This window comes from Homo sapiens, chromosome 1 (genome assembly GCF_000001405.40).
Source record: "Homo sapiens chromosome 1, GRCh38.p14 Primary Assembly".
In the NCBI taxonomy this organism is placed as follows: Eukaryota; Metazoa; Chordata; class Mammalia; order Primates; family Hominidae; genus Homo; species Homo sapiens.
The window spans coordinates 97,918,291-97,942,957 of NC_000001.11; the positions used below are offsets into that span (position 1 = coordinate 97,918,291).

Genomic DNA, 24,667 nt, shown 5'->3' on the forward strand with positions numbered 1-24,667 from the left:
ATTCAGAGAGGCTAACTTGCCCAAACACACAGCTTAAAGTTAGACCTCAATCAGAGGCAGTTGGTTTCAGAAGCCAGGCTCTGAACCACATTAATATATCTGAAAAAAAACATGATTTCTCATGCAACTTCTATGATTACAACAACAACAACAACAATTCTGAGTAATGAGCTAGGTCCTATTACCAAGTAACACATCCTTTCCTTGCCTATCTCCCAGCCCAGGGATATTCCAGCTATGGAGTTTGGTGATCTGATTGTTTTCCATGTTCCTAACCGTCAAATCCTGATGTGATATTGGATTCAGACTAGAAATTATGAAGCAGGCACACAAAGCACCTTTATATATACCTCAATAACTTTTCCCCCAGAAACAAAGATATTTCTTGGCTGTTTCACTGAAACCTGAGGTTCTGTAGTTAGCTCATAGGGAAAAGTCAGTCACTATTAGAGTAGGTTGTTATCATCACCTTCTGTTCTTTTAACAATTGTCAAGTACTTTTCACATTTATCAATGTGTTCTTATCACATTCATTAACTGCTTCATACCAATATTTTTAAAATATTACTTGCTTATCCATGTATTTGAAGCTAAAACAATGATCACAATCAGATCTCTAGACAATGGTTGTAATGAATTTGTTCAAGAAAAGCATTCAAATTTGATGGAAAACTGAGCCTTTATAATTCATTCTAATTCTTCAACACAAAAATGAACTTTGGTAAATCAATAGGATCAACTGAGGCATTTATGCTTGAATGTGCTCCCCTAAGCTTAATGTATTTTTCCTCACTGCATTATATTTTAATGATTAATTTCATGCTCTTTCATGGTATTCTAGCTCATGAATCACGGGTATTACTTTGAGGGAAAAGTAAGGTGCTGTGAGTGATGAAAGATGTTACTGATTAAAGTGTTGCACATATGAACTACATAAGAGCTGAAGGTGTTTGAACACCAGCAATCTAGATTAAAAGTAATATTAGGCAAACTGGCCATATAGACTAAGGTTGAATTGAGTGGAGGGAGTGGGAAGGATGGGCTTCTTAAATGTTCTTAGTTGAAACAATATATGAAATCAAGCTTGGCATTCAATGTTTCACTGGCATCTTTCTCCTCAGTAGAATGTAAGAACTGATTTCGAAGACAACTGCAGAGAAAGAAATCAGTTAAGCAGATAACACACCATTCTGAAATTAAAGAGCCAAAAGCCACCCATCCTAAGTCAACTCCGATATCTTAAATCAATACTGCCTTAATACTGTCAGAAGCTTGTTTTTCGACTTAGTAAATAAAATTTTTTAAAAAGTTAAGTCAAAGTCACAAGGACCAAAAAGGAATAGACTACCCTAAATGAAATATAGAAAAAGACAAGTATCTATTATCCTGCACACAGATGAACAACTATTTGTTAAATATATCATATTGCTCAATATCAAAAAGTCAACTCTCCAAAACAGAAACCAAAAGTAAACTAACCAGAGATGTCCACATAATACACTTTGGCTCTTGTTACTAAAATGATTTTTCAAACCAAGTTATGGAGCCTGGAGAAAACAGGACTACTTCCTCCCAGAATATAAAGTTTCTTCAATTACGGAGGCAAAATGTGGCAAAAGCAGCTATTTTGCAAACAGGTGGTTTGCAAAACTTTTACTTAAGCCGCCAAAAGGACTGACGAAAGGAAAATTTTGTTATTTCTAAAGAAAACACACACACACATAATTTTCTACCAGAGTAGAAGACTCAAATAAAGAAAAGCCCCAAACAAAACAGAAAACTAAAAATCAGTTTGTCTTAGCTCAAAAGTGCTGACCTAGGTTTAGTATGTGTAAAATCACTGTTGATAATTAAATCCTTTTCATCGCATATATTAAGATACTAGAGAGAAAGGAAATGCCATGTCGTTTCAGGTAGGACCTTATTTACATAAAAAAAGATTTTTTTTAACAGAAACGGAGTGCAAGAGGGAATCAAAAACCGTTGAGAGGAGAGAAAAATACAGTTAGTTTTTCTGAGGGCACTGCATTTTTCATGTTCTGAATACTTCGTTCCATTCTCTCCATGTTAAATTATTTCATAAACAATACTATGACTAGAGGCGACTGCTACAGCTGACACACAGATGTTTTATTTCTATGCTTCACCTTTGCAAATAGCAGGATTCAGCTATTGGAAATGGGGGCAGTGGAGGTGTCCAGAAACGACATACAGGAGGTGAAGGGGTAGAACGTGTGGGAAATGGGCACTCCTACCCCCTAGAGTCCACCTCTCTGGAACTCCAGTGCTTCTTCAGTCACTGACATTCAGAGGAGGACAAGACAGGCTTCCTGAAATCTCTTCCGAAGTAAACAGGTCCCGACGCAAAGGGCAACCCCTCCAGTAGCGGAAAGTCCTCCCCTGAGCTCCCCGCCTGCCCACGCGGGCCTGTGGCTCCGCGCTCCTCCGCTCCCCCGCAGAGCTCCCACGGGGGAAACTTTCCCGCGTCTCTCACTCTCCGGGGTGCGGGGGCCGCGGGGGCCTCCCCGGCACCTACCCGCAGAGCACTCCCCACCACCCCGCCACCACCGACGAGCCGGCGCGAAGTCCGTACCTCGATGTCCGCCGAGTCCTTACTGAGCACAGGGGCCATGGCAGTGCCTACAGTCTCGAGTCTGCCAGTGACAAACCCTCCTTGCGTCCTCAAGCTCCAGCCAGAGAGCCAAGTGACAGCAGCCGGAGCGCGAGTCGAAAACAGGCAGACTAGGGCCGGCGGCGCGGGGGCGGAGCGGGCGCGGGGCGGCAACGCCCCCGGGGCGGGGCTGCGCTCTCGGTCCTGCGGCTCCCGCGCCAGGCACGGCAGCCGCAGCCCGGCCTTCCCAGTTCAGCCCGCTCCGCGCCCCAGCCTGCAAGCAGAAGGGAGGGAGGGAGTAGAGCACCCGCTCTGGGGACTGGCCTTTAATCTCTAAACTGCTAAAAACAGAGCTAGGCAGGCGGGGCCAGATAGGAGGGATCCCCAGGCAAAGGTAAAAGCAGTCCGCGCTCCAAGCAACAACTTGCACTTTTTCTTTTCTTCCACAGAAACCCCGCGAGATGTAGATACATTGTTTGAGGGGCAACTGCATTTTCAGGAACTCCTCAAGGATGAAATAGTAGATGTTCCTCCATCCATCCACCAAGTAGGTGGGCGGGGTTTGAGCTGCAGTGGAGGATACCAAAGCACCGGTCTTCTGAGAGTTCACAGCCCCAGCGGGGAGGGGAGGGAGGCGAGCAAAAACATCCACAGCCCGCAGCAGCATACAGGAAGTGCTGCAGGTGGTACATAATCAAGGTTGTCTTTTTGCAGGAAAGTCTCATTTTAATGGTTATTTTTTTAAATATTTTTTATTCTAAAACGTGAAACTCTTTTGAAAAGTTGCTCTTCGTTTTTGCTCTAGAGCTTGCTGAGGAGAAGGGAGAGATTTCCTGTAGAGTTGGTCCCAATCCAGAAAACATTCACCTCGTTTTTTGAGGATATGTGTACTCCAGACCTCTCTCCTTTTCTCCCCGCCCCCCCCCCACCCCTGTTAGATGCATCCCACCTCTCTTCTACCATAACACTTTCTACTTCCGTTAGGACATTTGCGGCACTCCTTCATGCACTTGGCTAGGTAGTGACACCTTGGAGTCAAGTATTTCTCCCTTATTATTTTTTCATTAGTCCATTCATCGTTTTATTCAACGAATATGTTTATTGAGCATTTTCAATATGCCAGACACAGACACTGTGCTAGGTTCTCCGGATATAGTCTTCAAGAATACACATCACTGTCATGGAGATTATACTCAAAATAAGCAAGTAAGAAAATGTGATGCCTGCTTGTAAGATAAAAGAAAAATAGGACAGAATAACTAGGGTATGGGTACCTTGCGTGGTTGAGAAGGCTTCTCTGAACAAACCATCAGATTACCTTCCAGAACCTGGAAATTACTAAAAGACAGATACATTTTTCTTGAATCAAATATTAACAGACACTAGAAAGTTAAATGGAAACCTTAGAATCATCTTTGACTCCTTTATCCTTATTGCCTCATTTAATCTATGCCCAAACTCTCAGAAGTCAACCTCCTAAATAGATTTTGAATCATTCATTTCTCCATTTTGCTGCATCCACCATGGTCCAAGCTACTGGTATTCTAGCTTCTATTCTTACCTCATATCCATACCAGATTGAGCTTTAGAAAGTATTAACTGGCTCATGCCATACAACGATACATCCACACACCCAGGTACCCATGGTATAAATCCTTCAATGGTCCATTGCAGTCAGAATATAATACAAACTCCCTAGTAACCGCTGAATAACCTGCTCTACTCCGCTTCTCCGCCACTCTTGCCCTGACTCATTATGTTCCAACCACAAGGTAATCTTCTCATCCTCCATCCACTTCTCTACCTTTGCACATTGCCCTCCACTTGGAGCTCTTCTTCCCCTTCTACTCATCATTTAGGTCTCACTGAAGCCTTTATGATCTAACCCCATCACCAACAAAATTACACCCACTCTGTCTTTTTCATTATATTTCGTCTTCATAGACTTTTCAAATGTTGTTTAAATATTTATTTGAATGTGATTCATTTAATATATGTCTTCTATTTAGAGAGGAAGCTCCAGGAAGAGGGGGCCCATGTGTACTTTTATTGTTTACTGGATACTCAGTTCCTAGCTCAGGACTGAAGCATAAGAGACCAAGAACACTTGGTGATTGAATGAACAGAGTACATTCGTTTATACACTGGGCAGTTCATTTTAGAAACTTTAGTTTCTCTGCATCACATATTCTCATTGTCCTACTTACTGCTGAGAAATAGGTCACAATATCTATCAATGAATTTGTAGTTAAAATGGGTCAAAATAACTACTTATCTTTTCATGGAGTAATGTTCCAAAGTCAGATGTTCCTGCATCTCCCTACAACCACACCTTACCCACTTACTCTAGATCCTCTTGGAGATATAGAGAGATAGATAAATCTATCTATATCTATTTTTCTATCAGTCTATATATATAAATACACATATAAACACCCAAATACATACATACATATACACACATATGTATATATTGAGAAAAGATATACACATATAAACATATATAAATTTACAAATATAATATATATAATTATAATACATATGATTTCTTCCCCAATTTAATCAGTCAGGTTCAATGTTCAATTTCCTAACTTACAGGGATACAGGCTTATTGCTCTTTCAGGTTACACTTTAACATACATCTTATCAGTTAGCAATTGATAGTTAATTTATGTGTACAAGAATCCAAGTTATCTTTAAGAGTTATACAGTGTATTTTCATATTCGTTTTCTGTTATAATTCTCCTAAACAACTATAGAGGATAAGTCCAATATACGGTGGTTTTCCAAAGATAAGAGTTTCATCGGTGATAGTCAATAATCAAATATAAAATTTAAATGCTATTTACCATCCCCCCCAACTTCATCAAACAGATGTATCCTGTTCTGACATATTAATTAAGGCATCTAATCACATTGCTCACGTGCCACACCTATGCTCTGTGATCAGTGATTTAATCTAATAATATTTTAAATTCATTGAAATTGCACATTAAGCACAGTTGTACCTGTAAATAATGCAAGCTGTTTAAAGCTTTTACTGCAAATGCATTTGCACCACACTTTTTAAAAGTTGTAAATTATGATGGCGTTTGTCAAGCTGTCCCTCCATCTGGAAGCACAGTGAAATATCAGGTGTTCCACATTAATTTTTTGTAGGCTTTGGAGAAACAGCTTATGTTTGAACCTAATAGTTTACAGTACATAAATGAATATTATTACTACCAAAGTCAGAAGTAGGACTTATGAGTCATCTTTAATTTCACATCTAAAAAGTTATTCAATATTACAAATTTAGAAACACAACAAAAATTCAGATTTCCATATGCCTTTATTTTCCCTTTGCAGTGTAGCATTAAGAGATTTTTTTTGGTGGGGGACATTTCTTTGAAAATGATTTCCTCCCAAAAAGTCAGAGGCTGAATGATCATGAGGTGCATTTTTTCCGCTGTCTGATTTTCAAGGGCCAAATTAATTCCTACCCATATTGACCAGTAGGATAATGACTAAAGATCAGTTAGGCCCAAATATTTCCAGCATTCCTGTTAAAAAGACCAAAAGGAATACGTTGGTTCATATTTCATGGAACAAACAGTATAATGTGCTCAACTACATGTCTATCATATTGCATATATAGATATGCAGTATATCAGCATGTATTATGTAAATGCCATAAAAAGCACAGATAACACAGAGAAACTACAAACCTCTCCCATAAATTTATTTAGCAATTATTTATTGAGTACAATTGTTTCAGACACTGTCATAAGCATTAGTGACATCTCAGTGGACAATAGAGACATTGTCTCTGTTACCACAAACCTTTAGCCACTAAATGAAAAACAAAAATTGCCGCTTAGTGATTTTAAATGAGTGGTTTAACTGAATGGATTACTATGAGAGTCAGATGTCAAAATATATGCAATAGTATTTTGTAAATTGAACAGTGTCATATAAATTAAATATTACAAATTTAAAGATATAATCTTTCAATGCCCACGTTCCCACGTTCTAGAAAAATGTCATTAATGCATGATTGCCTATGAAAGATTTTGGGTAAAATGCAGTGTAAGGGGAAAGTTTATAGACTTATCTAACTTAAAGTGGGGGAAAACATCCTTTAGAATGAATGTCCCCTGAAATAATTTGCCTTACTACTTAGGGGTCTTTTCCTTGGCCTTGTTGGTTTCCTCTCACCATCTAATATTGTCACAATTCCAAGAACTGGCATTTAAAGTGGTTTCTTGTTTTATTGCTGGAATTTTATTGTTTTATAATTTCTAGTTCATTTACATTTGAGCAAGTTCTTCATATCCTTGCCTTAAAGTATGTATTTTCCCTTTTGGTTATCTGTAGCAGATGTTATGATGTGCTTCACAGATCACCACCCATCCCCCAACCCATTCAAAACTGAGGCACTCATTCTCTCAGCTCCTGGGAATGTTAGTGGTTGACAGCTGTCTGCTGAGTCCCTCTCTGGAAATTGCCCCTGGCTAAGAGAGACATCTCACTGGAAGTTCAAGCCCTTTCCTGGGGTAGCAGATATCCAATGACAGTTGATGTGGGAATTTAAAGGCTGGGCCCTTGCCTCAATTCAAGACACCTTTTAGGGGCCATCCCACCTTCAGAGGTCCCTCAAGGGATTAGCTGGGACATAAGTTGGGACGTCTGTAGAGTTCAGCTTCTCCCTTTGCCCATCCTGCTTCATTTCCTTGCTCTCACTGGGCCTCATACAGACAGCACTGAATAATGAATATACTTCCTGCACACACATTTCTATTGCAAAGTCTGCTTCCTAGTGAACCTAAGCTGCATTGTTACCTCTGTATATTAATTAACAAATGGTCTATACTGCATGTAAAATGTACATGCTTAATTATCATCATGCCTGGACATAAAAATTAACCCATATTTTTAAATCTCATCATTTATTTCATTGTTCTGAGATGTTTCTGTATTTGTTCATTCATTCTTATCACTGATAATTATGTGCCGAACACATGCTAGGTTCAGTGGAAAACACTAGAGGTACCGTGATGAGCAAAATAAAAGTGAACTCTTATTCTCCTGCGCTTTGCAGATTAGTTAGGGAGATGGACATTTGCAAAATAATCACACAAAAATATATTTACTGCAAATGGCAACATCAATGAAAAACAAAAGGCTGTTATAGTAGAGGGCCCTGAGAAATCAATGGAGTCCTTGAGGTAATGGCCTTACTGCTGAGACCTAAAGGACAACGTAAGAGTTAAAAAGGCAAAAGGAGGTTATTAAAAGACTTCCGGGAAAGGAGAGCAAAGTGTAAAAGCTCCAGGGTCAGAGATATCCAACAGGGAAAGAAGGCCCTGATGGCTGGAGTTTAAGCAACTAGTGGGAGAGTGACCCAGGGTGAAGCTGCAAGATAAGCATGCCATGTTTTATTTAGTCTTTGTTTAGGGTTTTGAACTTCATTCTATAAGAAATGGGAAGCCATGAAAGTTTTTTAAAGTAGAAGAATGGTATGATCAAGTGTGTATTTTGAAGTATTACTCTGATTGCAATGTATGTGTAATTGCATATTCATATACTCACTTGGTTGAATGTGTGAAAATCAACCAAGGCAAGTGATTTCTGGAGATGGGCTCAGTCATTTCCTGTGCATGCTAGCCTGGGTGGTAATCATAAGTGCCATTAGAAACCAAAATAGTACATTTCTACCATATATTAACACCGTTGCAATTTAGCATGTTGTGGCACTTAAAAGGCAGATCTCTGTTTTTAATCAGAGGCCAGAAAGAAAAACCTACACTCCAGAAGGATTTCCCTCTCTCAGTCACTGGCTCTCATTCTGTTTTCCTACATAAAATTATAATCATCAATTTTTAATCATCTGAATAATGAACGATGTGCTGTTCTTGTTCTGCAGTTTGTTTTCATGATTTCCACTACCCCTACCCCTACACTACCCCTACACTGTAAGATCCTTGATAATTTTTAATGGGTCTTATCTTTTTATCCTCCATGCCTAACATAGTACCTAGTACATAGCAGGTAAATAAATATTATGAATAACTATCATATTTTTATCTTAAAACTTCATTGCAGATCATTATTTAGCATTACTCTTTTTCCACATAGCAGAGAGTATAGAAAGCCTAAGGGGAAAAGATTTCCAGTGATATACAAATAGATAAAGGGCATCAATGGCCAACTCACAAAAAAGGGAATACAAGCAGTTAATGAAAATGTGAAAATTGAGTCAACCCAATCAGTAATCAAAGCAATGTCAAAAAATTATAATGACATAGAGTTTTTCACACATCAAACTGGCAAAGATTTTTTAAGGAAATGAAGGTGCAATAAAATTAACAGGTTCGTAAGATTCCATAATGAGTAAAAACTTAGTATAGTATATAGGCAGGGCAGTTGAGCAATACATAGCTTTCTTAGTCTATTTGGCTGCCATAACTAAATACCATGAAGTGGTTAGCTTATAAACAGACATTTACTGCTCCCGATTCTGGAGGTTGGGAAGTCCAAGATTAAAACATTGGCAAATTTGGTGTCTGGCGAGCACCCACCCTCCGGTTCATGGATGATGCCTTCTCGCTGTGTCCTCAGATGGCAGAAGGGACAATGCAACTCTCCAGGTTGCTTTAATAAGGGCACTAATCCCATTTATGAAAGTTCTGCCCTCATGATCTAATCACCCCTCAAAGGGCCCACCTCATAATATCCTCACATTGGTGATTAGGTTTTAACATGTAAATTTTGGGAGGACACAAACATTTAAACCATAGCAATAGCCAAACGGTAAATATGTGCTTTCTCTGAGTCATCAACTTTATTTCTGATTTTTTTAAGAAAACAATATTCTTTTTGCAAGATGTATCCAAAAATATGTTCATTCTGAAGTTGTTCATGCAAAAATAAAATAGCATATATGCCCTATAACAGGTGACTGATAGATAACTGATTATTAATAACTGACATTGGCCGGGCACGGTGGCTCATACCTGTAATTCCCGCACTTTGGGAGGCCAAGGCAGGCAGATCATGAGGTCAAGAGATCGAGACCATCCTGGCCAACATGGTAAAACCCTGTCTCTACTAAAAATACAAAAATTAGCTGGGCGTGGTGCTGCGTGCCTGTAGTCTCAGCTACTCAGGAGGCTGAGGCAGGAGAATTGCTTGAACCCCGGAGGTGGAGGTTACAGTGAGCCGAGATTGCTCCACTGCACTCCAGCTTGGCAACAGAGTGAGACTCCATCTCAATAAAAAATACATAAATAACTGACATTAATCTGGTGAATTCATAATTCAACTTTATGCAGGCATTAGAAATGATGTTGTAGAAGAATATTAACAGAAAAAAACATGGGTAATTATATATATAAATATATATATAAAGAATATATATCAATAAATCGAATAACATGATATAAGATCTAAATATTCATGGACAAGTAACAAACACATATTAGTTAATTATACAAAAAAGTAAAAGTTATTTTACAAGCTCCATTGCACTCTGAGCAGATAGACCAATACAAAAACCTTTTATAAATGTGTATGTTTGTGCATGCAGGGTAAAAACCTCATTACTCCCACCCTTGATACATATTAGGTATTCTGTAATTTTTTTATATGAAGTGTTTTACATGAAAAGCTGAATACCAAATTTGTCTATAATCTATAGTCCATTATTAGCAAAATAATTATCATCAGTCTGGAGCAAATTATTTTTAAGAGTTATAGAAATTGGCAAGTAGCACAAACTCCTTAAGCTTTAACTAGGCAAAATAATCTAAATATGTGGAGAATGTCCTATTATAAGATAGTTGTTTGAATGTTTTGATTTATTTAATCTATGAAACAGCAATCCTGTCAGTCTCTCACTCCAAACCCATTATGTCTTCCCATTTCACTCAGTAGAAAAATTGTACAATGGCCTGCAAGACATGTATGTATATATCTAGCTTTTTGTTTCTTCTCTCCTTCTCATTCCTGCTATTCTTGTTTACTCCAACTCCACCCACAGAGATTTTTCCACTTGCTCTTCCCTCTGTCTGCATTGATATTCCACACTAGGTATTTCAACAGATAGCCCTTCATCAGCTTCAAGCACTTGCATAATGACCACCTTCTCAGTAAGGTCTTCTCGAATACCATATTTAAAATTGCAGCTCACATTTCTCACATTCACTACCCCCCTTTTCCTATTTTATTTTTCTCCCTAGCAATAGAATACAAATGACATTCTATTTGTTTTAGTGATGCGTGCGCTCATTGCCTGCCTTCTCCTAATAGAATGTAAGTTCCCTGAGGCTGTTTTGTTCACTGCTGTATCATCAGTGTCTGAACCAGTGCCTAGCATATTGTAGATGCTCAATAAATGTTTTTGAAAAAACTCATGAAACAGATTGTAGGTTATAGTCTCTTTTCATACTTATGTATTAGCATTTAATATTCTACATTTATGTGTCTGTCTCATCCACCAGACAGAACTGTTCAAAGGCAAGGACTACACCTTACTAATCTTTGAATCACTCAGTTTAGACAGTGTCTGGATTTAAGTAGATGTGCTCTAAATATATGTTGATTGAACAAGCAAATGGAATAAAAATCATCATGTTTGTGTACTTTCCCAAAAGCACCCACCTCGGTGCATCTTTAGGTATTCAAAAATTGAAATTTATCATGTTTGTCAATCAGAGAAACTCTAAGCTAAGAGCTTGCTCTGAAACACATTTCTCATTCTTGTCTTAACAACTCACTTGACAATATTTGATAAATACAGTCATTTGTGCAAAGGACCTTGGTATTTCCAATAAATTTGAAAATATTTCCCATTTCCTTGTATCTTTCCTTCAACATGTTCAAATAGTTTAATTTGTTTTGTTGTTTCAAATATTCTGAGCAGTTTCTTCTCCATTTATTAAAAATTTTATTAAATTTTAAAGAATATTCACATCTTATTTGCAGAATTTAAGGGAAAGATTATTTGGTACTTTGTGTCTTAAACAGAATAACCATTCTGAAAGTATTTTGACAATCTTTTGGAAGAACCGATATATTACGTGCTTATGCCATTGTATGTGTTGTGTATATATAGATATATACATGTATGTCTGTATGTATATTTTAAATCATCCATCATACTTTTTCCAATTGTTGCTTAAAATGAGTCATCACTAGATTCATTAATTCAACTATCTTGTTTTAGGCTTCAATGAAAAGAGCTTATAGATTTTTCCTTTTTTTATTTATTTTTCTTTTCTGGGGGTTGGTGTTGCGGGTGCTGATTACTATCACTCTTCCAAGTAGCACAAATACATTTCACAATGTGAACTTTGATAAATGTCCAAATGGATTTTAAAACTAAGCAAATTGAACCGCTTTTTGAGTCCCATAATTTATTCCAGCCATCTGTGTCACACACACGTTTGTTTCTTAAAGGCTTTATACATTTTTTAATTTTTTTGCCCATCTTCCAACCCAGCAGCACCTTAGGATGTAACAGCATTAACATATTTCAAGATTAACTTTGACCCCCTGAAGAATATAATAAGAAGAAAAATGAGAAACATTTTTCAATTTAACTATTTTCAATTTGGAGATTAAAAAGTATAGAACCAAAAACATTCTTTTGGCATGATACTTTCTATTTAAAGGCCACCAAATGTTTCTTTCTGGGAGATTGTATTGAGTGGTTAGGATCTTGGCATCCACTATTGTTCTAGGGAAAGATTTTCCTGGCCCACACTTGTTGTTCCTGGGTAATGAATGACTAGAGTATATGGACAGAGCCACCTTCCCATCTGTACTAGCTTTAACTACCATTGATTGCTGTGTTGCATCCTCTGTTGAACCATGCATGCTTAATCATTAATTTTACTTAGAGCTAATAAAAATAGCTGACTTTATTGATCATCTACTGTATGCCCAGGACATTACACATGATCTTTTATTTAATTACCACAATAATCTGAAATTAAAAATGTAGAAACTGACACTTATGTATTGTATTGGAGTTTCAGATACCTAATTTCTTTCTTGGGGGTGGTAGGTAGGAGTTATTGAAACACCACCACAATATCGTGAATTTTATTTATTTATTTTAAATGCAGTATACTTTATAAACAGCTTTTTTTGGTTTTATAAACGTCCAAATGGATTTTATTTTGGTTTTATTCATGGAACTAACATTTAGAGTTCCTATTTTGCTAAGCAATTTATTAGACATTGTATATTAATTATCATATAATTAAGAAAATCGAGGCTTCACAATGTTAATGCTGTATCTTCACAAGACTAATGGGTGGCAGATCTTGGATTCTTGCCCAGGACTCCTTCACTCAATACCTTCTATTTTACATGTCTGCCTTGAAATAGAGTAATGTGTTCCCTCACAGAATTTTCCTATTTTGCTGTTCTATTCTAGTCTAATCTGTGACCTATGAGAATCCTGATTAAAGAATGATAATATCTATTTCATGGTTTTTCCTTGTTAGAGTACGAAACAAACATATGTATATACCTATTATATATGACTAAATATATTACAGGTATCATCCACATCCTAAATAAATATGTATAGTTGTAATTGTTACGCATAGTAAATCCATGCCTACGCGATGAGTTGTATCACAGATTTTGACAGAAATATAATGTGTTAAATACTTTGTCATCTTCCTCTCATCATTTTAACTAAGCTAAATTGCTAAACATAGAACATAAATTTCTAATCAACTTGTATGTGCTTTGATACAAGAAGCAATTCATACTTTAAAGTAGATTTTTCTGGGCATAAGAAAAATTTGACTAAAGTGATAAAAATAGGGAATGATAAAAGAGTTTCAGATTCTTTAGCTTAGAGAAGACAAAGCTGGCTAAGCTTGAATAAATTATTGTATTCAAATAGTTTTTATCAGAATAGTGAGCAGTTGTTTTCTATTTTGACATCAGGTCATGAAATAGGTTTAATAAATTGAGACAATGTAATTGGATATAAAAAATAACTTCTTTATGTCAAAGATAAAATATTAGCGTGGACTACCAGGGATGATATGAAGTCTTTATCCTGGAAATCTGAACAAAGAACATAAACAGCCATTTATCCCAGCTGCAAAAAGCAACCTGATGGACAATGTGATCCTTAATAGTCTTTTCTAATGTTTTGTTTTTATAGACATCATAACTTTTTCTTCTCTTTCCTTTCACATATCCCTGCCTTTTATGATAATAGTACCTTAAAGCAGGAGCGATTTCTGATTTTTATTTTTAAACATACCTGACTATAAGATATTAACTGCAATTTCTCTTTTACGTTAAATTTTCAATAAGTGAAAATGGTAATGTATTAGCCAGTTCTTCAGGAAAAATGCAGATTTCAAGGTAGGTCACATTTCTATTATATCCCATAACATACATACAGCAATTAGATTGATGGTTGAAAAACATATTTACATCATAACACTCCCCTGTTAACCTATCAATGGATTCTCATTAAAATTAAAGTAAAGCACACATTACTTACATTGGCCTACAATGACTATACCTCTGTGTATCTGTGATCTCATGTCATCTCCATTTTACTCCAGCTTATACCACGTCAGCCACTGTGGCTTTACTATTTATCCAGCATATTAATTCTAAGCTCTTTCTATTATTTGTACTTGGATGAATATCAAAATGGTACACAGCAGGCAACTATTCAATGATGTTGGATCAGGATCTTCCTTAAGTAGGAAAAAGCAAGTGCAAAGTCATCGACTTCCCTTTCCATCATTTTCCCCTGAATATGAATGGGTACATATACACATCAATGCCCATCAGTTTCTCCCGATCGTTTTCTTTATTCTATATACGCTGACTTTGTATCTATATCTGTATACTTGTATATTGTCAGTTTCTTCTTCTCTACCATGAGTATTGTGTGTTCTTTGCTGTGTTGCCTACACCTAGAATGGTGCCTGGCACATGATAGACACTTAATAAATAAACCTTTCACTTCACTTTCAATTTAAAAGTAGATATTATTTCTGCAATGTCAAAATATGAAAAATATTGTTTATAGTTGTGACTATAGTTGAAGTCAATATATTTGTGAGTGAATATTATACTTTCCATCCATATAGTTTGTCATCATGGAAAGAGAGCCGTAGTCTAAAGGTGAAGTGGGAAGTACAATTTGCAAAAATCATTACCATTCCTTTCTAAATCCAAATCAAGGCTTATTGTCTTTGGGTAAACATGTATTATTTAAGAAACTTATACTGAAGTTCTTCTCTCCATATAAGAAAACGTTTTCTGTTAAAAAGATGTGATTCTCTGATGTGAGAAGAATTTATTCCATTCCTTATCTGAGAATTTCATTACCATTTGCATGTTGCCTGGAATACAAATTGTACTGAGTAATCAATCATTGTTTAATTGCCGCTCAAGTAAACCCTTGTAATCAGACTTGCTATAAAAATGTTAAGGTGTGCAAAAAGCATAAGGTGGCATTTTCCCCTCCTTCTTATTATGCCTGTGTAACTTCCATTAATACTAATAGGAGGCACAGCTGGTCGTCAACAGGAGATTACAGGTTGCTGTTTAAATCATATTTTATTTTTATAACTTGGCAAGATTTATGTATTGAAATCAGGTGGCCAGATTTTTGCTGTTGTTAAGAAATCTTTTACTCTGAAAGAATGAGATTGGGGGGTGGGAATTGGGTCTCACATTTTTTATTTTAGGAATATAAAGACTCGAAATCCAAGCAGCAGCTTGTCCTTATACAGCAAGTCTGTCTTATTCTTTAGCACCAGCTGGAGTCCCGTTTCTAATTTGCTGTGAAGAATTAAGTGATTTGAGACCCATACCCTGGAGTATTTGACCTCCAATGTCAACCAGCTAGCTTGCAATTCCCTTGGCTGGAAAGTTTCTCCAGAATTGATTTGAACTAACATCAGTTAAAACACTCTGAAATATGGTAGTAAATATCATTGCAAATCTGAGTATGACTTTATAGCCGTGAAAATAAACACACTGTAGAATATTAAAGAAAAGAGTTTAGGAGCATGGAGAGCCTTGAAGATCAGAAATGTTGTGGCAATAGAACGATTCACCTCAGGGTCGTCAGTTTAAGTCTGGCACAGTTGGTTCGCTACACTGTCTGAAGATGGTTGTTTGTAGCATATGTTAACTGTGCCAGTGCTTGCAAATTCATTTCATAGGGTTCAGGTCCATTTGTCATAAAACAGTTATTCCTGTTATTTTCAATTGCCACAGTGTTGACAATCCTAGAGGAGAATAGAAGGACTAATAAGAACAAAGTTAATGCAGTATCTTCGTTACCCCAAGCACAAGCCAGTCTCCTTTCCCCCAATCTTCATTTTCTCATGCTGTTGCCCTCACTCACCTAGATTCTCTCCATTTTTTTTTCTCTATACTTAATCTAGTCCTTTAAATTATCTAATGCATTCCTTCTCCCTCTCCATGAAACTTCTCCCAGTTATTCCTGTTACTGGTAGATTTCTATCATTCCTGAACTTGGTTGGTACCAACGACCTGAAATTAGATATAATACCAGTGCAACTAAGTAATAAGGTCAATAGTGCTGGAAGGATTGGTAGGTAGGAGGACACTGTGGTAGCCAGAAGAATAAATATCAATGTCCCCATAACTCTTTTGAAACTCCTCAGTCCTTATTCTCTCTTCATTTTTTCTTTTTCCAGCTTTCATCTCAGTTAATTAACCACATCATATGAAACCATATCCTGCTCCTCACCCTGAAATCTCTGGCTGCTCACCCTAGAAACACCACCTGCTAACAACCTGCAGTGCTGGTATCCATCTTTGGCCACCACCTATCCTAACTTGCTGGACTAGCACCCTATGCCAAGAAGGGTACAAAAAACGTATACGGAAGTAAGTCCTACCCACATGAGACAATAAAATGGACGGATGAGAAAGTGGATAGAAAGTGCCAGGCGTTAGTCGAGATCAAAACGTGTTAAGTGCAGCTGGGCATGGTAGCTCACATCTGTAATCCCAGCACTTTGAGAGGCTGAGATGGGAGGATTGTCCAGGAATTCAAGACCAGCTGGGACAACATAGTGAGACCTGTCTCTACTAAAAATTAGAAAAAATAAATAAATAAACCAGGTGTGGTGGTGCATGCCTGTATTCCTAACCACTGGAGAGACTGAGGCAGGAGAATTGTTTAACCCCAGGAGTTCCAGGCTTCAGTGAGCTATGATCACCACTGCACTTCAGCCTGGGTGATAGAGCAAGACCCTGTCTCAAAACAAAACAAAACACCTAGGTGTTAAGTGTGCATTCTGGTTGGAAAATAATTAAATAGCGATTACCTTTCACAACCAATTTCCTACATATATTACTTTCATATGTTTATTGAGGTACTTGGTGCATCTAATACTATTTTTCAAGTATACTGTAAGTTAATTTAGCTTTATGCCTTTGTGTAATTTCCAACCTTGAACTTGCATGTTTTTTTCCCCATGAGTAAAACGATGAGACTGAGTAACAAAAATAGCCACCATTTATTGAGAGATTATGTTATGCCACACACTCCTTTAAGTGCATGATATACATTATACATACTCATATGATACTTAATTATCAATCCAGAAGATATTATTATGCTTATTTTACAGTTCAGGAGAATGGGCCTCTAGGAGTTTAAGTTCCTTGACCCAAGACACTACCTAGTTAGGCACATTAAAGACCTAGCCTGAGATTCTGTCACAATACATCAAATTTGCTGCAAGAAAATATTATGTTTGTGCATTCAACTCAGTGCTTTATCATATATAGTGGAAAAAAGGAAGGCTGTTTATATGCTATTGTACACCAATTCTTGCTTGTTTAAGTCTTTTGTTACTAGGTCAGATTTTGAGTGTAATATTCCAGTAATTGATATATGCACTTCTTGTTCGTCCTTGACATCGCATGACACCTCATGGTACACTGAATAAATGTTCAACAAATAAATGCATGTGGCTTTGATTTGATGTTCTGATAAAATTGTGGGATCTTGTTATTCCTTTTATTTTCAATTGCCACAGTGTTGCAATCCTAAAGAAGAATCGAAGGACTAATAAGGACAGAGTTAGGGTAGTAGCTTTCAGGGATGTGAGGTTTGAACCCCTTGGTTTAAAATTGAAAGAAAAATTTTTCCTACCTCCTATTACAGTACCTAAGACCGTATGCAGTACACATCCTGGTTTTCTAGTAATGAAGTTTTAAGAAATATGTGATCACTTTCATTCACATTTTTTTCTGAATATGTGATAAAATCATAAAACACAAAACATTAAAGGGGAAAATACAAAATACTCATAATTGTACTATCAACATTTGAATTTATATCAATTTATGGAAATTTTGATTTGTTATCTTTTTTACTTAACTTGAAATGTGATTTTTAGTAGATTCATATTATTCTAAATTTTGGATGTTCCCTAAAATATTAATATGTGTAGGCTAGGTTATGCTACAATAACAAATCACTCCAGAAATTTCAGAGGCTTAATGCGACAAAGGTGTATGTCTTGCTCACGTTACATATCCCATGTGGGCTGGTAGAAAGCTTCTGCTCTATACAGATACACAGGGACTTGAGCTGCCAGAGGTTGCAATTTCTTTTGATTATACCTTCAGGAACATATGGCCTCCTCAGTCCAAGTGGTTATAAAGATGCAGAAATTTCTCACCTCAAAGTAAAATACTTAAATAAGAAATGACATATGTCACTTCTACTCATAGTTCAATGGCCAGAACAAGTTGCATTACAGTGCCTAATTGTAAGGGGTGTGCAGACTGTAAAGGAACACATGGGATATTTTATGTAATTAACCCTCCTCAATTTCTTTCTTAAATAGATGTCCCTCAGTTTTATATTTAGCAGTGTTTTCTCAAAGTTCGGGGTATAAAGAAAGGCATCCTTCCTTTTTTCAAGTGTTAATAAATCTGTAATAGTTACTAGCCTTTAGACTTCAGACTTAGGTTCACTCAAAATATAACTTACGTGTTCTATAATAAAAGTTAATTTCTATTTTGAATCCTCAATCAGCCAAGTGGCAAAACAAAATCTCAGCCAATCTAATACTTCTTCTCCCATTCACCTAGAGTTTCTTCTAAATTTAGGGGGTAGCAAAGTGCCCATATTTCAGGCAGGAGAGTGAGGCACCTGGGCCCTAGTCATTTGCATGTTCCAGTGTGGTGACTGATGAGATGAGCATCACCCATTCTATTCGCTGGTCCATCTGCATGAGTACAAGAAGCTTCTGTTTCCTAAAGAAAAGACTCTCAAAGCGTTGTGTTCTCTCTCAGTTGCTGCTGTGCCAGTGTGGGCCTCATATTCTGCTCTGAATGTGTCAAAGATGGGGTGCTGGCAAGGGGATGTAAAACATCAGGGCTCAGATTCTTTTCTCAGAGTCCCAGTAGTGACTAGTTTTTTTCCCTTGATAGGGAGGATAGGAAGTGTAGAAATTGGCTGATTGCATATTCTCCCAAATCTTACAATGTACCGTAACTTCAGGTTTTGAAATCAAGAGGCTAAAATTTGACTTTTCTAAAACTTGTCTTCTGTTTTAATAACTCTCAGCTGAAGCTATAATCCCGCTGACTGAGTAGAGGCAAAAATGAGGAAAAAAAGTTGAAAAATGCATACCTTTCATCAAAATATCATTCTATGAAAGAGATACATATATATGTTTGTGTATGTAAATGTGTGTGTGTGTGTGTGTGTGTGTGTGTGTGTGTGTGTGTGTGTGTATTTGTTGTTGTTGTTCACATTGAAAGAGATAATGCTGCCTACCAAACTAATAAGTCCTTTCTTGGAGAAATTGCCAAACCTGCTGACTAACTACTCAGGTTTCCTGTGGGTAAGGTGGTCATCTTCTGCACCATGCAACTATATTATCTAATAAAACCTGACTATCCAGTGTTTATTTGCAATCCCAGAGCCAAAATTCTTCTTTAATAATATGCATCCCAATCATATTCTTAACTTAGTATTTTACCTGGAGGCTTAGGTGTTCCCAGAAATACATTTTTAAAATGTATTTTAGAGGTGGTGGTGATGGGATAGGGGATTATTATTTGTATGCTCATTTGTTGGTTAGCTGTGGCTTTAGAAGAGCCATTTTGTCTGTCATTGGAGGAAGGTGACTCACTAGTTGTAAATGTAATTCCCTCCCTTTCTACATCCAGTTTCCAAGAAGGAAGACTTGCCACTGTGTTTCTAATGAGTCATTTTTTAATCATGCTGCCCATCAAGCAAAGACAGATGAATAGATTATTTTTTCATTTTTGTGGATAGTTTTGCAACCCAATAAGCACTTCTTCTTGAGACATTAATCCACTTTATGAGAGAGAACAGGACCAGGATAGTGGAGGGTTTATGTTTTGGGAGGCAGTTGGAGTGGGTAGGGTTAATGAGAGAGTTTCCTGATTGGGAAATGGGAAGGAGAGGAAAAGAAAAAGGAAGTACAAGTTCCACAGAGTAGAGGCCCCCTGAATATGTAGGTTCATAGAAGGAGAAGCCTCTGTGGGTCCCTGTAAAGACTTAGCACTCAATTTCGCTGTTTCAAGGATCTTGGCGAGTGTCTCTCACAACTAAGCCAGGAAAAGAGGAAGTTCATCTTCCACGGGAGCCACAGCCATCATAAAATGTTAGAGTGGAATGACCAGTGAATGAGTGGAAAATGCAGTGGAAGAGTAAAGTTTAATAGTGACAGTGTATAATCCCTAGACGATCCCTCTACTTTTAACAGACTTTTAATTTTAGAATAGTTTTAGATATAGAGAAAAGTTTCGAAGATAGTACAGAGAGGTCCTATTCATCTCACACTCAGTTTCCATTATTGTACCTTCTTACATTAGTATGGTACGAATATTACATTCATGATCCAATGTTAGTCCATTATCATTAACTAAGTTCCTACCTTACTCAGGTTTCCTTGGCTTTTACCTAATAGTTTTCACTCGTGCAGGATCCCACCAGTGTACCATACTACATTTACTGGACATGTCTCTTTAGGTTCCTTTTCACTGTGGCAGTTTCTCAGATTGTCCTTGTTTTTGATGACCTTTGAGTAGTACTAGTCAGATATTTTGTAGAATCCCTTAATTAGATTTGTCTGGTATTTCTTAATGATTAGATTGGCTAAAGATTTTTAGGATGAAGACTTCAGAAGGAAACTTCCATTTTTATCCCATCATAATACAAGTGTGTGCTAGCAATATGACTTATCACTGTTGATATTAAATTTGTTCACCTGGCTGAGATATTGTTTGTCAGGTTTCTCCACTGTAAAATTACTCTCTTCTTCTATTTCTTTTCATAGTGTATTTTTTAGAATGAAGTCCCTTATGAGAAGACCACATATAATCATTAGAAATAAGAAAGATCAGCGGGGCGCAGTGGCTCATGCCTGTAATCCTAGCAGTTAGGGAGGCCAAGACGGGTGGATTCCCTGAGCTCAGGAGTTCAAGACCAGCCTAGACAACATGGCAAAACCCTGTCTCCACTAAAAATAGAAAAAATTTAGCTGGGTGTGGTGGTGCGTGCCTGTAATCCCAGCTACTCGGGAGGCTGAGGCAGGAGAATCACCTGAACCCAGGAGGTGGAGGTTGCAGTGAGCCAAGATCATGCCATTGTAGTCCAGCTTGGGTGACAGAGTCAGACTCTGTCTCAAAAAAAGAAAAAATAATAATAAGAAAGATCAGTGGTGGTAGGGAGGAGTGACCAGATTGGAGAATAATATAAAATAAGTAGAGTTTGATTTGTGCTTTGAAAAAAAGGTAGGGTTTGGATAGGTAGTAGGGACAGAGGATGGGAAGTTATGCTCCCCCTCCTTATAGCCAAGTACCTACATAGATTATTTGGAATTCTGCATGAAAGCTCTGTTTATTCTCCCCTATTTATTTACTTATTCAATTATTTATTTATATTAATATGGACTGATGGATTTTTTTTATACTTTGAGTTATAATCCACACTACTTTTTTTTTTATTGTTGCTCAAATTTTTCCAGCATTTGACATTGAGAGCTTTTTCATTTGGCTCCAGTGTCCCTTTGATATGCCTCCTTCACTCATCATTATGTGTCTGTGTTTGTGTCTCTGTGTGTGTATGTGTGTTTTAACACTTCCTTACTTTTTGGCACTACAATATGCCCCAAGCTTATCTTGTATATTCCTAGCCTCAGTTTTGGAATCAACCATTTTCCCAGGTAACTTGCTTCCTTCAATTGGAGAAATGTACATTAGAAACAAAGATCTGGGCACTAGGTGTGCTTATTGCTATTGGAGTGTCATTTTTCTAGGTCTTCTCAGCTGACAGAGCAAAAACAAATTTATGTATACTAACCCTTGTATGCACATTTATCTGTAAATATTTCCGTAATCTGCTGTAATATATAGAGGAAATTAAATAATGTGCTAAATTAAACATGAGTTCATACTAATGTCTCTAACTTTAACCCATTGCTACATTGATCATTCTAACCACCCCTAGTGTTTTTGTAACTTCCCACTCCAACAGTGAGAAACCTGGCTTCCACCATCCATTTACTTAATTCTTCAGTTCCAGTGTATATGTATGGTAGTGTCAGAATTGTTAAGCCATAACCCTGCGGGAAACAACTTTGTCAACTATACTACATTGCTTAGGTACCATGTCTTTTGTCACTAGCTTTGTGGACTCCACAAACTTCTGGAGTTGCTTCCATCAGTACCTTTCTCCCTACTTTCTTCAGTGAGGTTATTTCATCCACTTGTAGTAGAGTTAGATTCTTCTGTCACACGTTGCCTTCCATCATGGGATTTCTTAATCTCCTATATGATTTTGTTTTAATTTACATGTGTTAAGCTTTACTGTTGGTGCTATAAAGTTCTATGGGTTTTGACAATTTAATTGTCAAATTAAATTGCATTTAATATATATGCACCATTTAATATGTATGCACCATTTAATATGTATGCCATACCATTTAATATGTATGCACCATTATAATAGCATACAGAAAAGTTTCTTGCCCAAAATATCCGCTGTATTTTTTCTATTTAAACCTGCCCTCTCCTGGAACCCTTGGCAACCACCGGTCTGTTCACTGAATCTATAGTTTTGCCCTTTCCAAATGTCATATACATTGAACTGTAAGTTATGTAGCCTTTCAGACTAACTGCTTTCACTTACTAACATGCATGTAAGTTTCATGCATATTTTTGCATAACTTGATAGCTCCTTCCTTCTTATCACTAAAGAGTATTCTATTGTTTGGATAGACAACAGTTTGTTTAACCTTTCACCTACCAAAAGACATCTTGGTTGCTTTCAGTTTTTGCCTATTATATATAAGACTTCTAAAAACTCGTGCAGATTTGCTTTGCAGCTTTATCATTTAATTTTTTTAATTTAGATATAATTTGCATACCATAAGATTCATCTTTTTAAAATGTATTTTTAAATATATATTTCAGTGTTTCTTAGTACATTCACAGTATTGTGCAGCCATCACCACCATCTAATTCAAGAATATTTTCAGCACCCAAAACCATGTACCCAACAATTATTTCCCATTCTCCCTTGCCTCCGACCCACTAATCTACTTTCTGTCTCTATAGCTTTGCCTATCTGGACATTTCCTACAAATGGAATCAAATGATACATTACCTTTTGTGTCTGGCTTCTTTAACTTAACACAGCGTTGTCAAGGTTCATCCATGTTGTAAACATGTGTCAATCATTCCACTTTATGTCTGCATATTATTCCATTATATGGATATACCACACTTCATCTTTTCGTCAGTTGTTGGACATTTGAATTGTTTCCACTTTTGGCTATTAAGAATAATGCTGCTATAATCATTTATGTACACATTTTTGCATAAACATATATTTTCATTTCTCATGGATATATATCTATCACTGTAATTGCTGGGTCATATGGTAACTCTTTGCTTAACTCTTTGAGGAGTTCCCCAACTATTTTTGAAAGCAGCAGTACTATTTTAGATTCCCTCCAGCAATGTTTGAGAGTTGCAATTTTGCCACCTCCTCACTAACACTTGTTATTGTCCATCTTTTTTATTATAGCCATGTAATGGGTGTGATTTGATATCTCATTAAGATTTTGATTTGCATTTCTCTAATGACTAATGATCATGTGCTTCACATGCAGGTTTCTGTATGTTCATAAGTTTTCAAATCAGTTTGGTAAGCACCTAGAAGCACTATTACTGGATTATGTGTTAAGATTATGTTCTCTTAATTTTTAGTCAATCAAATAAATGTAATCATCTAAAACAACCAATATTTGTGAACTCTCATCTGTTACAAACAATGATAGCTAGCTAGTTGTTAGCCAGAGAGGAAACAGAAAACTCATGTTGTTCTATGTTATTCTTCCCTGAGTGCAAATGATTATTGCACCTTCTAGGGGAGATGACAAGGTGCTGGGGTACTTTCAGGTGTCACAATGACCATGTGTGCCACAAGCATTTAGTGTCTGAGGATGAATCAATATTGTGCAGTGTGTGAAAGAGTCTTGCACAATTAAGAAATGTTCTATTCCTAATGTCACCGAACATCCCAGATGAAATTAATAGACAAATGTAGGAGTCAACAGAAACTGAAAGACAGAAAAGATAGAAGGTAGAGTTCAAAATTTGCAAGTGAAAAAACAAGTATGGAAAGGAAATAGTGGTTAACTGACAACTTTCTGGGACTGATAAGATCTGCTTCCTAGAAATATTTTGAGACTTAAATAATCTCTGAGACCTATAAATGTCACAGTCTTTGAGACTGTTGTTTTTATTTATATTTTGCATCTTCATCCTGACTATCTAACATTATTTAGATTACCTTACTGAGTGGCCTTTGCAGTCAAAAGATGCTAACCAGCACACTTTTTTTTCCTATAAAGGTACGGACAGGGTGGAATTTGAAGGAGGTGTTAAAGTTCCCACTTTACTCTGAAGTTATTCATTATAAGCTGTTAGGACTAACATTTGCATTGTGGTTAAAAAATAACAAGTAATTGTGGTATCTTTAAACAT

The 24,667-nt window shown here is 36.8% G+C and overlaps 1 protein-coding gene and 1 long non-coding RNA gene across 8 annotated transcripts in view, besides 1 other annotated feature; both read right to left on the reverse strand.

Moving 5' to 3' along the window:
- DPYD (dihydropyrimidine dehydrogenase) overlaps nt 1–2,769 on the reverse strand; it is an 843,317-nt gene extending 840,548 nt beyond the window's left edge. For 6 of the 7 annotated variants that reach the window (XR_001737014.2, XM_047448077.1, XM_017000507.2 and 3 more), the window contains 1 exon segment: nt 2,594–2,769. Coding sequence is in view for 6 of the 7 variants with exons in the window: in XM_047448077.1 (XP_047304033.1) it covers nt 2,594–2,632 (39 nt within the window). In the remaining variant the exon portion in view is untranslated. 7 annotated transcript variants of the gene reach the window in all.
- Nucleotides 2,550–2,949: a silencer, noted in NCBI's record as "silent region_1109". NCBI's record gives its function as "represses an Ori minimal core promoter by ATAC-STARR-seq in GM12878 lymphoblastoid cells {active_cell/tissue: GM12878}" and the evidence as "EXISTENCE:reporter gene assay evidence [ECO:0000049][PMID:35858748]".
- On the reverse strand, nt 15,184–23,450 carry LINC01930 (long intergenic non-protein coding RNA 1930). Its single transcript, NR_146275.1, has 2 exons — nt 23,283–23,450; nt 15,184–15,879 (listed from the first exon to the last, which is right to left on the reverse strand). It is a non-coding gene; the product is annotated as a long intergenic non-protein coding RNA 1930 (long non-coding RNA).
- Between the last annotated feature and the right edge of the window lie 1,217 nt (nt 23,451–24,667).